A 17,666-nucleotide genomic window follows, 5' to 3' on the forward strand; every position below is an offset into this window, starting at 1 on the left:
AAGTGCTGAGATTAGAGGTGTGAGCCATGGCACCCGGCCAGGAGCTGCATTTTTAACAAGTTCTCAGATAACGCTGATGCAGCTAATCCAGGGACCCCCACTTTGAGAACCACTGACCTAGAGACATATCCCACCAGAAAGGGGTGTGCACTGCATTACTCACTTAGGGACACTCCGACTCCTGACACATCTGATTTCTCAATGTTCTGGAGGTAGACAGGTATTTATGAAACTGTCCACATTTCGCAACAACAAAAACCTTGAAATCACCGCTTCACTCTCTCCTTCTGGCACCAAAGCCACATTGCCATTGATCCTGAAAGTGTCAGGGCATGTTTCGGCTGCCTTCTAGCTCTCTAACAGAAGTCAGTGGCTACCAAATTATCAACCAGGTCTATTCTTGACCTTCCAATGGCAGAGAAAATGGAAAGTACACTCTTGATTAGCAGCCTTCTGACACAGTGAAGCAGCTCCAAGTTCACGTTTGTCCTGAGTGAAGAGGCAAGAACCATGTTGGGTAGGGTCAGGTCACCAGGGAGAGAGCTGGCCCAAGGGACCCTGTGATGCCTGCCTTCAACGGCAAGTTTAATCTTCCCCCCATAAACATGCTTCCCATTCTCACAATCATTTTCTTTCTTTCTTTCTTTTTTTTTTTTTTCCGAGATGGAGTCTTGCTCTGTTGCCCAGGCTGGAGTGCAGTGGCGTGATCTCGGCTCACTGCAAGCTCCACCTCCCGGGTTCACGCCATTCTCCTGCCTCAGCCTCCCAAGTAGCTGGGATTACAGGCGCCCACCACTGTGCCCAGTTATTATTTTTTTTTTTTGTATTTTTAGTAGAGACGGGGTTTCACCGTGTTAGCCAGGATGGTCTCGATCTCCTGACCTCGTGATCCGTCCGCCTTGGCCTCTGGAAGTGCTGGGATTACAGGCTTGAGCCACTGCACCCGGCCTCTTTTTTTACAATAGAGATGGGGATTCTCAGTCTGTTGCCTAAGTTGGTCTCGAACTCCTGAGCTCAAGCAATCTTCCCACCTTGGCCTTAAGTGTTAAGTCAGAACACTTAATTGCATTCTAATGAAAGGCAAAAACTTTCATTCCAAACATAAAGCAAATACCCAGTTAAAACTTTCTTTCCATCAACCTGCAAACAGAAGTAAATGCCTGCCATCTTTGAAAACCAAAAAAAAAACCCTTGATTCTCTCCCATCCCACCCTATCTTTCTCACCCCACCTTGCATGGCCCCCCACCTCGGGGGCTTTGCTTTCTTACTCTTCGGTCATTCCTTGATCCCCTGGAGTTGGGCTTCTGTCCTTTTTACTTTTTTCTTTTCCTCTTCTTTTCTTTTCTTTTCTTTTTTTTTGACAGGGTCTGACTCTGTTGTCCAGGCTGAGTGCAGTGGCACTATCACAGCTCACTGCAGCCTCAACCTTCCAGGCTCAAGTGATCCTCCCACCCCAGCCTCCCGAGTAGCTTGGACTACAGGCACATGCCACCATATCCAGCTATGTTTTTCTTTTTTGTAGAGATGGGGTCTCTACAAATGTTGCCCAGGCTGGTCTCGAACTCCTGGACACAAGTGGTCCTTCCTTCTTGGTCTCCCAAAGTGCTGGGATTACAGGCGTGAGCTACCATGCCTGGCCTTCTGTACTTCTTTCTCCACAGAAACTGTGCTCATCAAAATTCCCAGTAACACCCAGGTTGGATACACATGTGTCCTCTAACTTGATTTTTAAAAATACTGTGGTAATATACTTAACATAACATTTATCACTTAAGCCACCTATAAGTGTGCAGCATGATGGCATTAAGCACATTCACATCGATGTGCAACCATTGCCACCATCCTTCTCTAGAACTTTTTCACCTTCCCAAATGGAAACTCCACACCTATTAAATAATACCTCCCCATTCTTCCCTATCCCCGGGCCTTGGCAACCACCATTCTATTCTCTCTGCTTCTGTGAATTCTACCACTCTTTAGGTACTTCGTGTAAGTGGAATCATACCATATTTATCCTTATCCTTTTTTTGCTTGTTTTTTTTTGAGTTGGGAGTTTCGCCCTTGTTGCCTAGGCACCAACGCAGCTCACTGCAACTTCTCCCTCTCAGGTGCAAGGGATTCTCTTGCCTCAGCCTCCCAAGTAGCTGGGATTACAAGCATGTGCCACCATGCTCGCCTAATTTTGTATTTTTAGTAGAGATGGGTTTCACAATGTTGGTCAGGCTGGTCTTGAACTCCTGACCTCAGGTGATCCACCCACCTCGGCCTCACAAAATGTTGGGATTACAGGCATGAGCCACGGCGCCCAGCAGTATTTATCCTTATATATCTAGCTTATTTCACTTAATGTCCTCAAGATTCACCCATGTTGTAGCATATGTCAGAATTTCGTTCCTTTTTACATCTGAATAATACTACATTCTGTGGGTATGTTACATTTTATTTATCCATTCATCCTTTGGTGGACAGGAGTTGCTTCCACCTTTTGGTTATTGGGAATAATGCTGCCATGAACGTGAGTGTACAAATATCTGCTTGAGTTCCTGCTTCCAATTTTTTGGGGTGTATACCCAGAAGTGGAATTGCTGGATCGTATGGTAATTCTATGTTTATTTCCTTGAAGAACCTCCATACTGTTTTTTCCAGCAGTGGTACCATTTTGCATCCCCATCAGTGATGCACGAAGCTTCCAATTTCTCCACATCCTCGCCAAGACTTGCTATTCTCTCTCTTTTTTTTGAGATGGAGTCTCGCTCTGTCACCCAGTCGATCTCGGCTCACTGCAACCTTCGCTTCCTGGGTTCAAGCAATCCTTCCACCTCAGCCTCCCGAGTAGCTGGGATGACAGGCACGCGCCACCATGCCAGCTAATTTTTTTTTATTTTTAGTAGAGATGGGGTTTCAACATGTTGGCCAGGCTGGTCTCAAACTTCTGACCTGAAGTGATCCACCTGCCTCGGCCTCCCAAAGTGCTGGGATTATAGGCGTGAGCTACCGCACCCGGCCGTTTTTAAATTTTTGATTAATAATCATCCTAGTGGGAATGAAAGTGGCTCTAGCTGGAATTTTCTGTGGCCTTTAACTCTATGGTACTTCCTCCTGAAAACCCCTGCTCACTTCCTTTCTCCACATTCCCTGATTTTCTTTTCAACTTTTCTGTTTTTTTTTTTTCTTCTCGGTCTCCAACCACCTCATTGACATCAGCATCACCCAGGGCTGCATCTGAGGCCCCTAGCTTCATAATCTCATACACTCTATAGAGCCACCTACTTTGTTACTAAAACTTCATTGATATTCTCACTTCACCTCACTTGAATGGTGGAGATGCTCAAATCTGTAACCCCCATCCAGACCCATACATCCAACCATCCACTAAACACAGAAATTAAAAAATATTTGGAAACTAATATTTGTGTCAGGGACTGGGGTGAGTGGCTTACAAGCACTTTGTCATTTCCACTTTGTTTCTAATCATTGAACACTCTCACCAACCCTATGAGGTAGGTTCTAGTATTAATCCCATATAGCCATTGAGGAAACTGAGGCTTCAGGAAACACCTGGTTGATATGGTTTGGATTTGTGAACTCATCCAAATCTCACGTTGAATTGTGATCCCCAGTGTTGGAAGAGGGGCCTGGTGGGAAGTGATTGGATCAAGGGGGTGGTTTCCCTCTTGCTGTTCTTGCGATAGTGAGTTCTCGTGAGATCTGGTTGTTTAAATGTGTGTAGCGCCTCACCCTTCCCTCTCTCTTCCTCCTGCTCCAGCCATGTGGGGCGTGTCTGCTTCCTCTTCACCTTCCACCATGATTGTAAGTTTCCTGAGGCCTCTCCAGCTATGCTTCCTATACAGCCTATGGAACAGTAAGCCAATTTAACCTCTTTTCTTTATAAATGACCCAGTCTCAGGTAGTTCTTTATAGCAATGTGAGAATGGATGAATATGCTTGCTCAAGGTCATACAAGTGGTGAGTAAGTTTGAAACCAGACTCAAACCAAGCCCACCCTAGTCCAAAGCCCACGTGTTTCACCACACCCCACCCCTAACCCCTTTATAACCATCTACTGACTATTCCAGACTTTGCATTTCTCATTCTGAGTTGTACGTATGTGTTTTCTTCCCTGTCTGTACCACTGGAATAGAATGTTTGAGGACAGGGACAATACTTTTTATTTTTATTTACTTTTATATTAACAGGTCTAAGCATAGTGTTTGGTGTCAGATAATATATCTAACTAGTGTTTGTTTAATATATGAATGAATGAGTGAACTGCATGCATTTCATACTATTATTCATGATCCCATAATACCAGCGTCAATGTTAGACATGCATGTCACATAAGCTTCTATTAAAGAAATTAACATGATTCATCTTTTTGTCTTAGAGATAAACTTTTATGATGAAATGTTATTTATGGGGAGAATCTCACAGGATGAGAACTGATAGATTTTTCCTCTCTGGACGTGGGTAGAAATGATAGAGAAATCATTCTCAGATGCTAAGGAGAGTAGAAATTTAAACTTTTAATTTCACTATTACTCAATTACTGTGCACTATTACTCAAAATATCTAATAATTATTGTCCAATATTTTGTGTTTTTCTTCAGCAGATAACTATCATTTAAATGATTTTTTTTTTTGAGACAGAGTCTTGCTCTGTTGTCCAGGCTGGAGTGCAGTGGCATGATCTTGGCTCACTGCAACCTCCGCCTTCCGGGTTCAAGCGATTTTCATGCCTCAGCCTCCTGAGTAGCTGGGATTACAGGTGTGCAACACAACGCCTGGCTAATTTTTGTATTTTTAGTAGAGATGGGGTTTTGCCATGTTGCCCAGCCTGGTCTCGAACTCTTGAGCTCAGGCCATCCGCCCGCATTGGCCTCCCAAAGTGCTAGAATTTCAGGTGTGAGCCACCGTGTCCAGCCTGAAGGATAACTTTTTTTTTTTTTTCTGAGATGGAGTCCCTCTCTGTTGCCCAGGCTGGAGTGCAATGGTGCGATCTCGGCTCACTGCAACCTCCAACTCCTGGGTTCAAGCAATTCTCTTGCCTCAGCCTCCTGAGTGGCTGGGATTACAGGCGACCACCACCACACCTGGCTAATTGTTTTGTATTTTTAGTAGAGAAGGGGTTTCACTATGTTGGCCAGGCTGGTCTTGAACTCAGGTGATCTGCCTGCCTCGGCCTCCCAAAGTGCTGGGATTACAGATGTGAGCCACCGTACCCGGCCAATGATAACTAATTCTAAAAGCAGAACTACTGCTTTTAAAAATGATAGATTTAACAAATACGTAGTTCATGCATGTTAAAATAAATAGTACAGAAGGGTTGGTGGTGAGATGCCTCCTTCCCATCTGGTGTCTGTCTCCTTGTCCCCCAGGTCTTTAATTCAGACACAACTCCTTTAACGTGCATTTCATCCTATTATTCGTACTATATATTCGTACTATTCCTTTAACAGTTTCTTTTCTTTTTTTTTTTTTTGAGAAAAGTTCTTGCTCTGTCACCTATGTTAGAGGGCAGTGGCATGATCACAGCTCTCTGTAGCCTCAAACTCCTGGGCTCAAGGGATTCTCCCATCTCAGCCTCCTGAGTAGTTAGGATTACAGGTGCAAACCATCACACCTGGCTAATAATTCTTTTTTTTTTTTTTTTTTTTGTAGAGACGGGGTTTCGCTATGTTGTCCAGGCTGTTCTCAAACTCCTGGGCTCAGGTAATCCTCCTGCCTTGGTATCCCAAAGTGCTAAAACTACTTGTGTGAGCTATAGCACTCGGCCTGTGGTTTCTTATGTATCAGCCCAGGGTATGCTCTGCACTCACAAGCATTTATAAATATCTCCCCTCCCCTGCTTTTTTCTAAAACAAATGGTAACACCTGGTTTTGTGCTTGGATTTTTTTTTTTTTTTTTTTTTTTCCACTTTGTGCTAGATCCTGGCAATTGTTCCATGAGCACATGGAGGGCAGCCTCATGTGTCTTCATAGATAACCAGCACTGCTCCAACTTTCCTATCAAAGCACCTGGAATGAGAGAAGCACACAGATTGCAGCAAGGACATTAATTTGAAATCTTCAATTTTATTTGCATTTCATGCCAACTTTCTATTCCGCTTCCCAATGCATTTGTGCTTATTTTAATATAAAAATCATAGTTTAAAACAGATGCTCTAGGCAGGTGCACCTTGTTTATCCTGAGGCTTACACCCCTCTGCAGGCACGTGCACCCTGATTTAAGAAGGACAGACACGTGAACTGATGAGATTATTCCAGTGATACGGTGAGGAAGGCAGGATAGGAATCATCAGCCCCTTCTAAAGATGAAGAACCTGGTGATCAGCAATGCTGAGTGCCCTGCCCCGGGTGCCACAGCTTGTGAAGATGCAGCCAGGAGGACACACAGCACTGCTGCTCTGTCCTGATAATTGGTCACACTGCCTCTCAGGATACAGACTCATAAATGCCGTGCCCATACATGCAAACTAAAGAAGACAGAAATGCAGGAGCTTGAAGGACTAACTGCAGCAGGGTTTACATGGAAGAGATACTTGCATTAAATATTTCGCTGATGGTCAGAACCTTCATGGGTGTGTAACCTTCATGGGTGTGGCAGGAAATGGAATTGGTACTCTTTTGTTTTAAAAACCAAACTTGCAGCCGGGCGCGGTGGCTCACACCTGTCATCCCAGCACTTTGGGAGGCCGAGGTGGGCAGATCACTTGAGGTCAGGAGTTCAAGACCAGCCTGGCCAACATGGTGAAACCCGTCTCTACTAAAAATACAAAATTAGCCGCGCATGATGGCATGTGCCTATAACCCCAGCTACTCAGGAGGCTGAGGCCACGCGAATCGCTTGAGCCTGGGAGGCAGAGGCTGCAGTGAGCCTATATCATGCCGCCGCACACCAGCCTGGGTGACAAGAGCGAAACTCCATCTCAAAAAAAATTAAAAATTAAAAAAAAAAACAGCAACAACAAATAAGAACTAAACTTGCCAGCACCTTGATCTTAGACTATCAGCCTCCAGGGCTGTGAGAAAATAAATTCATGTTGTTGAAGCTCCCTAGTCTGTGATATTTTGTCATGGCAGCCAGTGCAAACTCATACAATATCCATCCAAGGGGTACTTTTAATTCTTTATCTATTTATTTTAAATTTTAAATTTTTAAAAATTTTTTTGAGACAGAGTCTTGCTGTGTCGTCCAGGCTGGAGTGCAGTGGCGCGATCATAGCTTACTGCAGTCTTGAACTCCTGGGCTCAAGCCATCCGCCTGCCTCGGCCTCCCAAAGTGCTGGAATTACATGTATAAGCCACTGCTCCTGGTCCCTTTATCTTCTGTGTGAATGTCCTACTCCCAGAGCACTCTGGTTCCTTTGGACAGGGCTGGACTGGGCATTCATTCATTCGTTCATTCAGTATTTATTGCACACTGTCATGTGCCTGTCCTATCTAAGCACTAGGCACACAACATTGACTGTGACAAAGTCACATCATGGAGCTACTGTCTAATATCCCACCTCCAAAGTGACTGGCTCCTCAGTGTCCTCCCCAAGTAAGATATGGTAAACATTTATCAGGCAAAAAAAAGAAAAAAGGTACATTAAAAATTAATTAATGGGGGGTGGGCACCATGGCTCATGCCTGTAATCCCAGCACTTTGGGAGGCTGAGGCAGGTGGATCACGTGAGGTCAGGAGTTTGAGACCAGCCTGGCCAACATGGCGAAACCCCATCTCTACTAAATATACAAAAATGGCCGGGCGCGGTGGCTCATGCCTGTAATCCCAGCACTTTGGGAGGCCGAGGCGGGCGGATCACGAGGTCAGGAGATCAAGACCATCCTGGCTAACACAAGGTGAAACCCTGTCTCTACTAAAAATATTAAAAAATTAGCCGGGCGTGGTGGCGGGCGCCTGTAGTCCCAGCTACTCGGGAGGCTGAGGCAGGAGAATGGCGTGAACCTGGGAGGTGGAGCTTGCAGTGAGCCAAGATGGCGCCACTGCACTCCAGCCTGGGCGACAGAGTGAGACTCCATCTCAAAAAAAAAAAAAAAAAAAAAAAAAAAAAAAATTAGCCAGGCATGGTGAGTGGTGGTGTGCCCGTAATCACAGCTACTCAGGAGGCTGAGGCAAGAGAATTGCTTGAACCCGGGAGGCGGAGGTTGCAGTGAGCTGAGATCGCACCACTGCACTCCACCCTGGGCGACAGAGCAAGACTCTGTCTCAAAAAAATAATAATAATAATAATAAATTAATGGACTGGCTGGGTGCAGTGGCTCACGCCTGTAGTCCCAGCTGCTCGGGAGGCTGAGGCTGGAGGATCACTTGTGCCCAGAGATTGAGGCTTCAGTGAACTGCGATTGCGCCACTGCACTCCAGCCTGGGTGACAGAGTGAGCTCCTGTCTCTAAAAATAAATTTAAAAAAAGATAAAATGAATTAATGATCCAAATCATGACTTACAGGTGGTTCCAAATGGTTTTTTGCTTTTGTGTTCTTGCTTTTAAACACAAGCTTCTCTTGTAGATTGCCTTGCTTGATAAGATATTCAAGAAAAAGTGGCAGAGGTGGGTTCATATCAGGCTTCCCTAGGTATGCAAGTGGTTCCAGGTGCCTGGCATAGCCAGTTTGGAGGCTCAGGGCTCTGACAGCGCTCAGAACTATTCCTTTCCTAGGATGTGTACTTCCGGAGACCACCCAGATTCAGAGAAGAGCTCGGATTCTCCTAGTGCTGTTAGCACTGTTTTGCCTCTTGGCAGGGAGGATGAGGGGTAAGGCTGAGTGGTCAATGCCTGGGGGGTGTTGGGCGGCGGCTTCCCAGGCCCTCTAGGCTACTGGGTTGCAGAGAGTACTGGAGCCGCTGTGGATCCCAGCTGTGACTCATCCGCCTCCCTGAGTTTGCTCTCAGAATGTGCTCTCTGGACTTTTTCAGGCAAGTCTGAGTGGCTCATTGCAGATACCCATCATTAACGTGCCTTTCGCGCTTCTTAATTCCCTCCAGAACTTTAACAATCATTGCAAACACGGAAAGGGTATTCTTCCCAGAGAAAGACATTCATCATGACTGTACCCAACCGCTGTCTCCAGTGCAGGAATTGCTTCAGTTGCCAAGGGGGAGACGGAGCCAACAGGTATTTTTAAAGAGGCTCTATGCACTGGAGGCTCGAAAAGAAAATATCCCCTTTGAGCATTTAGTCACACACATCAAAGGAAACAACAGTTTCCATCTTCATTTGCATCGTACAGGCATTAGATGTGGTCCAGTTACACCAAGCTCTGCTTGAAAAGGCAGAAGTGCCAGTACTTTTCATGCCTTGACTGAGACAGAGAGAAAATGCAGCCAGGCAAATAATATATCACCCTGCCAAGGCATTTTCCATTTTTAAAAGGACAGAACAATTTTACGTTATTTCTGGAGCCTCTTTGCAGCAAATATCCCTTGACATCTGTTCTAGCACCCAGGCTGGCCCGTCTAAAAGCACTGGCTGGTCCCAGCCTGCTGCTCCTGGGTGTGCGCCGGGGACCACATTCTGCCTTGTGATCTTGAAGCTCCAGACGTAAAGGGGCAGGTGACCTGTTTTTTTTTTTTTGGAGCACAGGCAGACCGACCTCAGCTCTGCAAAAGTGGCCAATTAAGGCACCACCCTGGTGGAAAGAACATGGCGTTTCAGGTCACTTGAAGAGGCTGGATGGAGAATCAACACTGAGCTTTGAGCCGGTGCAATGAAAATATGCTTGGGAGGGCTTGACGTTTTTCAGTGAAGCTCCCAGGAGGCCCAAGAGGGTTCAGAAATAAGACAATGAATTGTGCTCAGCCTTGATGGTGAGACCTCGTGGGGAAGGGAGAAACACACACCACTTCTGGAATAAATTAGCACAAGACGCCTGGTGAAGGTGACAAGTAAACAAGATTTGGCACATCTGGAGAATGAAGATTGGGCTATTTGGTAAAATTTCCCGTACTGTTCCTTCCAAGGAGGCCTACGATCCACTTCTGGCCAAGTGTGAGATCCTTTTGTTAGAGGGCGAACTGTGAATTTTATTGTTTCTAATCCTCAGCCCTGGCTGGCCTGAAAAATCTCAGGGTGCTGAATGATTAATTCCAACCTGCCCTAGAAAACATTAGTCAGCTGGCAAAAGGAAATAGCCCAACTCGAAGGCAAAAGAGCAAATTGACTTTATCTGGGAGTGATTGTGTTTGACAAGAGGAAAAAGAAAGACATCTTTTGTCACTGAAGAAAATTGTGCTTTGAGAATCTTTGCACAAGTCTTAAGGCTGTGCTTTACACAGCTGCTTGAATTAACATGGAAATAATCCCAGCACCCCCTTTGCCCTTCCAGATAGAGAGCAGGGAAACAAAACTACATTTTCATACATTTACTACAGCAGAGTTTTAGAAATCAGGAGTTCCAGGTCTACTCAAGAGCAGCACTTTCATCAGCTAGGAAATTCTCTTTCAAGAAAACTATTTTTGAATTGCTATTTACTACTAAAATTTTAATTTTTCTTTTAAGTATTGTCACATAGGCAGCCTGATTCTTTGTGGGTGGAAAAGCGAGGCAGATGGGCGTCTCCTCCCATCAAAAAGGAGCCAATTTCCATTCCAAAAGGGTAAAAAGATCAGTATTGTTAAAATCATTCTTCTGGTTTAACATTTATCTCATGCCCACAGCATCCCAGTATGCCTAGAACTTGAAAGAACACGTCATAGGCAGGAAAACAGATGGTTTTGACTCAATCTATGATATAGATTTTTCTGTTTACATTTTTTCCCTTTATCAATTACAAAAAATTAACCCTCTTTTAAAAATTCTAAAATCTTGCTGGGTGCAGTGGCTCACGCCTATAATCCCAGCACTTTGGGAGGCTGAGGCGGGTGGATCACCTAAGGTCAGGAGTTCGAGACCAGCCTGGCCAACATGGTGAAACTCCGTCTCCACTAAAATACAAAAAGTAGCCAGTGTGGTGGCGGGTGCCTGTAATCCCAGCTATTCTGGAGGCTGACGCACTAGGATCACTTGAACCTGGGAGGCAGAGGTTACAGTGAGCTGAGATTGTGCCATACACGTGGCTAACTCCTTCACCTTCTTCCAGCCTGCTCAAATGTCAATTTCTTTCTTCTTCTTCTTCTTTTTTTTTTTTGAGACAGGGTCTTGCTTTGTCACCCAGGCTGAAGTGCAGTGGCGCAATCATAGCTTACTGCACCCTCGAACTCCTGGCTTCAAGTGATCCTTCTGCCTTTGCTTCCTGAGTAGCTGGGACTACAGGTGCGCACCACCACACCTTGCTAATCTTTTATATTCTTTTGTAGTGACATCTTGCTGTGTTGCCCAGACTGATCTAGAACTCATGGCCTCAAGTGATTATTCTGCCTCGGCCCCAAAGTGCTGGGATTACGGCATGAACTACTGGGCCTAGCCCTGCCCCGTCATTTTTGGGTTTTTTTTTTTTTTTTTGAGACAGGGTCCCACTCTGTTGCCAGGCTAGAGTGCAGTGGCATAATCATAGCTCACTATACCCTTGAACTCCTGGGCTCAAATGGTCTTCCCCCATCAGCCTCACAAAGCATTGGGGTTACAGGCATGAACCACCATGCCTGGCCTCAAATGTCAATTTCTTGATGACATTTATACTGACTATTCCTATTTAAAATTGCACCTCCCAGGCTGGGTGAGGTGGCTCACGCCTGTAATCCCAGCACTTTGGGAGCCCAAGGTGGGTGGATGGCTTGAGGCCAGGAGTTCGAGATCAGCCTGAGCAACATGGCAAAATCCTGTCTTTACAAAAAATACAAAAGTATGCCAAGTGTGGTGGTGCACGCCTGTAGTCCCAGCCACTTGGGAGTCTGAGGTGGGAGGATCATCTGAGTCCAGGGATGCAGAGGTTGCAGTGAGCTGTGGTTGTGCCACTGCACTCCAGCCTGGGTGACAGAGCAACACACTGTCTCAAAAAATAAAATAAAATCGCACCTCCCCAACTCTGGCACTCCTGGTCCTTTTAACCTGCTAATTATCTACTTTTATTTTTTCCATTCTACCTATGGCCTTCTTACATACTACAGAACCTGTTTATTATATTTATTTCTCCCCACTAGAATGTAAGCGCCAGGAGGGAAGGAAACTGTGTTTTGTTCATACGTTAACAGCACAGATGGTGCCTGTCACTGCGTAGGTGCTCAATAATGTTGAATGACAATGTCAGAAAAAGTTGTCCAAGGGTTAGGAATGAACGGGAGATTACTGGGTGACCTTTCAGCGAAGTGCCGAGAGGATCCTCCAGGGAGGATCTGATTCTACAAGGGTGAGCACCTTAAATTGCCTTTCTATAGACTAGGTGGAAATGGAAAACAGAGATCAGTGCAGACAACTCTTGCCCATAGATGCAACTATTTTTGTCCTGTAGAAAAAGATACTCCCAGAATGAAACTGTATTGCATTATAGGATATGAATCAATTTTGCATCTTTTAGCACACTTTCTTGTTTATCTTTAATATACCTTTGTTCTTCAAATTCTCATTTGACTCAGTTTTAACATCTTACTGGTTTCCTCATTAATTAAATAACTGAAGATAGTTTTTTTGTTTTTGTTTTTTGTTTTTTTTGGAGATAATTCCTTACATGTACTCACTTTATGTTTGTATGAGACTCATGATTTTTATCTCCTTAAAAATTATGATGAGGTAGGCCGGGCATGGTGGCTCATGCCTGTAATCCCAGCACTTGGGAGGCTGAGGCAGGCGGTTCACGAGGTCAGGAGTTCGAGACCAGCCTGGCCAACATGGTGAAACCCCGTCTCTACTAAAAATACAAAAATTAGTCAGGCATGGTGGCATGCGCCTGCAGTCCCAGCTACTTGGGAGGCTGAGGCCGAAGAATCGCTTGAGCCTGGGAGGCGGAGGTTGTAGTGAGCTGAGATCGGGCCACTGCACTGCAGCCTGGGTGACAGAGCGAGACTCCATCTCAAAAAAAAAAAAAACAACAAAAAACTTTATGATAATGTAAAATTGAATTATACTCCCTCCCCTAGGAAATCTTATCTAGTCTCATGGTTTTATTTATTTATTTATTTTTGAGATGGAGTCTTGATCTGTCACCCAGGCTAGAGTGCAGTGGCGCGATCTCAGCTCACTGCAACCTCCACCTCCCGGGTTCAAGTGATTCTCGTGCCTCAGTCTCCCAAGTAGCTGGGATTACAGGCACGTGCCACCATGCCTGGCTAATTTTTATATTTTTAGTAGAGAAGGGGTTTCGCCATGTTGGCCAGGCTGGTCTCGAACTCCCGACCTCAAGTGATCCGCTGGCCTCCACCTCCCAAATTGCTGGGATTACAGGCATGAGTCACCGTGCCCAGCCTAGTCTCATGGTTTTAGATTCCACTGAATGCTGATTACTCCCAAATTTGTATGTCTAGCCACAGCGTCTCTCAGGGGAATATGTACGTCAGATGCATATATTCAAATGCCTTCTTGATTTCTCCACTTGGATATCTAATAGGCATTTCAGCATTAGAATGTCCCAAGTGGAAATGTGGATTCCCACCCACTCCTAACTCTGTTCCTCCCCGAGTCTTTAAATGCAACACCATTAACTCAATTGTTCAGGCCCAAATCCCAAGAGTCAAATCTTGGCCCAGTGCATTTCTTTCTGTGTCTCACATTCAATCCTTCAGCAAAACCTGAGCAATCATTTCTACTTTCAACATGTAGCCAAATCCACCTACCTCTTAACACCACCACACCACCATCTTAGTCTAAGACCTGGACTCTGTTTTTGTGAATAAAGTTTTATTGGAACATAGGCATGTCACCTCTCTGCCCCCCTTTTTTTTTTTTTTTACATGTTGTCATGGTTGCTTTTGTGCCACAATGGCAGAGTTGAGAAGTTGTGACAGAGGCCATAGGGTTTGCAAAACTTAAAATATTTACCATCTGGTCCTTTACCACCCTTGATGTGGTGGGCTGAATAATGGCATATAAGATACCAAGTCCTAATCCCTGGAACCTGTAACTATTCCCTTTTTAGGAAAAAGTCTTTGCGGACATGATTAAGAATCTTGAGATGGGGCTGGGCGTGGTAGCCCTCGCCTGTAATCCCAGCACTTTGGGAGGCCAAGTTGGGTAGATGGCTTGAGGCCAGGAGTTCCAGACCAGCCTGGCCAACATGGCAAAACCTCTTCTCTACTAGAATTACAAAAATTAGCTGGGCGTGATGGCACACACCTATAATCTCAGCTACTCGGGAGGCTGGGGCACGAGAAGTGCTTGAACCCAGGAGGCAGAGGTTTCAGTGAGCTGAGATCACACCACTGCATTCCAGCCTGGACATCAGAGTGAGACTTGAGATGGGAAGATTATCCTGGATTATCTTGGTAGGCCCTAAATGCCATCACGTGTCCTCTTTAGAGAGAGGCAGAGGGAGATCTGACACATACACAGGGGAGAGAGGGCAATGTGAAGATGGAGCAGAGAGAGATTTGAAGATGCTAGCCTTGAAAATTGGAGTGATGTGGCTACAAGCCAAGGAATGCCGGCAGCCACTAGCAGTTGGAAGAGGCAAGGAATGAATTCTCCCTAGAGCCTTTGGAAGGAGTGTGGCCCTGCCAACATCTTCATTTGGCCCAGTGAAACTGACTTCAAACTTCTGGCCTCCAGAACTGTAAGGGAACCACTAAGGTAATTTGTTACAGCAGCCACAAGGAACTAAGACCCCTCATCTAAGCCACCATCAAGTCTTGATGTCTAATAATGTCCTAACTAGTCTCTCTGCTTCTCTGGCCTCCTTAAAGTCTGTCCTCCACATTATGGCATAGCGATCCTTTTAAAACACCAGGGAGATAACATTCCCAGCTAAATACCTTACATTGTTTTCCTAGCACCCTCAGAGTTAAATCCAAATATTTTGCCATGGAGTTGGAGGTCCTGTGTGGCCTGCTGATTCCTCCCTGGATTCACATGTCAGCAGTCCTTCCACACCTCCCTGCAGTTCCTACAGGACACTGACTGTGCACCTGCCACCCCACCCATAACCGCGTGGCTCACTCTCACTTCCTTCAGGTCTCGGAGAGAACTTCCTGACTCACTCTTCTAAAATAGCCTTCTTGGCTGGGCACGGTGGCTTATGCCTGTAATTCCAACACTTTGAGAGGTCAAGGCGGGCGGATCACCTGAGGTCAGGAGTTTGAGACCAGCCTGGCCAACATAGTGAAACCCCATCTCTACTAAAAATACAAAAAATTAGCCGGGTGTGGTGGCGTGCGCCTGTAATCCCAGTGACTCAGGAAGCTGAGGCAGGAGAATCGCTTGAACCCAGGAGGCGGAGGTTGCAGTGAGCTGAGATCGTGCGCTGCACTCCAGCCTGGGTGACAGAGCGAGACTCCATCTCAAAACAAAAAAAACAAAAAAAAACAAACAAAAAAAACCTTCTCATCATCTCACCCTTTCACATTATTTTTCTTCAAGCATTTATCATTATCTAAAGTTCAAATGTATATTTGTTTGTCTCTCCCACCTCCACATGAGCTCCACAAAGGCAGAGATTTTTGTCTGTTTTGTTCACTGCTGTATTCCCCGCACCTAGAATTAGTATCTGGTATGTCATAGGCACCCAATAATTATTTGTTGGATAGATGCATATGGTAAAAACATTTAAACCATATCAAATGAAGAGTAAGGGTTTTTTTTTTCTGCTCCATCCTCAGAGGTAATAGATTTCCTGTTGTCCTTCTGGAAATCTTTTCTGCATATAGAAGAATATATATACAATAAACCTTGTATCCATTTTTCACATCCAGAGGAAAATAATGTACATTATGTTGTGTGGCTTACCTTCTTTCAGTTAGACGTTTAAGCTGGAGATCTTTTCATAGCAGCACACACTGAGTTACCTTTACTTCTTTTTTTTTTAAATTTAAGACAGTTTCGCTCTGTTGCCCAGGCTGGAGTGCAGGCTGGAGTGCAGTGGTGTGATCTCGGTTCATTGCAACTTCCGCCTTCCAGTTCAAGCAATTGTGCCTCAGCCTCCTGAGTAGCTGGGATTGCAGGTGCATGTCACCATGCCAGCTAATTTTTGCATTTTTAGTACAAACGGGGTTTTGCCATGTTGGCCAGGCTGGTCTCAAACTCCTGACCTCCAGTGATCTGCTCGGCTTGACGTCCCAAAGTGTTGGGATTACAGGCGTGAGCCACCGCACCTGGCCATACCTCCATTTTTTAAATGGCTGCATAATATCCCACAGCTTAATACTTAAAGAAAAAATAAATTGCTTGTCCAGTTTGAAAAATGGAAAGCCTAATGATGGTGAAATGCCTCTGCGCCCACACCCTTTTCATTTATACCCGTAGATGGTAGCGGTCTGGTTTTCCTTGGGTGCTCCTCAGTGGTTTCCAAAGACTATGATGGGACAACTCAGCAGCGTTTCCCGTCAGGCACTTTGATAGGTCATTTTACTTTCAACAACTAAACAAAGTTTCCTGGGAAGACTGAGAGTCAAAAGAAACTACATTTGAAAGTGTGGCGTAAATAAGAAAACAAAAAAACAAAACTTGACTTGAGCAGTCTTACAATCTCCCTAAGCTGCATGGAGTGCAAGTGGGTTTGCTGTGCAGATGCTAGAGTCCCCTGGCCCCTCCCTCCAATCAGATTACTGCCCCAAGCTTTCTCTATACAGAGATTTCGGGGGGTTCCACTACTGAGGTCTCTCTGGGTCTCAGGAAGTAGAGGGGTGATCCTGGTCTACGAAATGCATTAATGTCCGTGGTCAGGAAGTTCTTTGTATTTGTCCATCTGAACCAGCAAAGCCCAATCTCTCCAACCTTTTCTCCCTTTAGAAAAGATCCATTTCTGCCGGGCGTGGTGGCTCACACCTGTGAGGGGTGAGCACTTTGGGAGGCCGAGGTGGGAGGATTACAAGGTCAAGAGATCGAGACCATCCTGCCCAACATGGTGAAACCCCGTCTCTACTAAAAATACAAAAATTAGCTGGGCGTGGTGGCACACGCCTGTAGTCCCAGCTACTCGGTAGGCTGAGGCAGGAGAATCTCTTGAACCCATGAGGCAGAGGTTGCAGTGAGCCGAGATCGTGCCACTGCACTTCAGCCTGGGTGACAGAGTGAAACTCTGTCCCCTTCCACCAAAGAAAAACCAAAACAAAAAGAAAAGAACCATTTCTTTGATCATGGGTTCAAATGCAATAAAAACTATCAGGCTGTAATACCAGAAGGCTCAAGAGGGAGTGGAAAGCCTCCAGTTTCAAAGGGAAAGTCCAGAAAAAACTGGACTGATTCTTAAAAGTAGTGTATGAAGGTGAGATACATTCCACTGAAGGCATTTAGGTATCACTCCAAGGAGGGTCTCTGGAGAGCAAGTGCACTTGGGCGTGTTTTATGTAATAGCTGGATGATGAGGGCAAGTATTATGATTATAACTATTGCTTAAATAATATCTCCTGAAACCCCAATGAAAAAAGATAATGGTCTGTTCTAGGTTTTAATTGCTAAAAGGAAAACAAAACTGTCATTCGTGGTGTGGTTGGTTCTCAGACCTACTGCTGTCAGTAAATACTGAACAAATGAAACTACAGATTCATTTCAAAATTTCAACAGATTCCTGGGCCACAAAGCCTTTCCCTTTCGTGTTCAAATGATATTTTTTTATTTTTATTTTTTGAGACAGACGTCT

Source organism: Homo sapiens, chromosome 1 (genome assembly GCF_000001405.40).
Source record: "Homo sapiens chromosome 1, GRCh38.p14 Primary Assembly".
Lineage (NCBI taxonomy): Eukaryota > Metazoa > Chordata > Mammalia > Primates > Hominidae > Homo > Homo sapiens.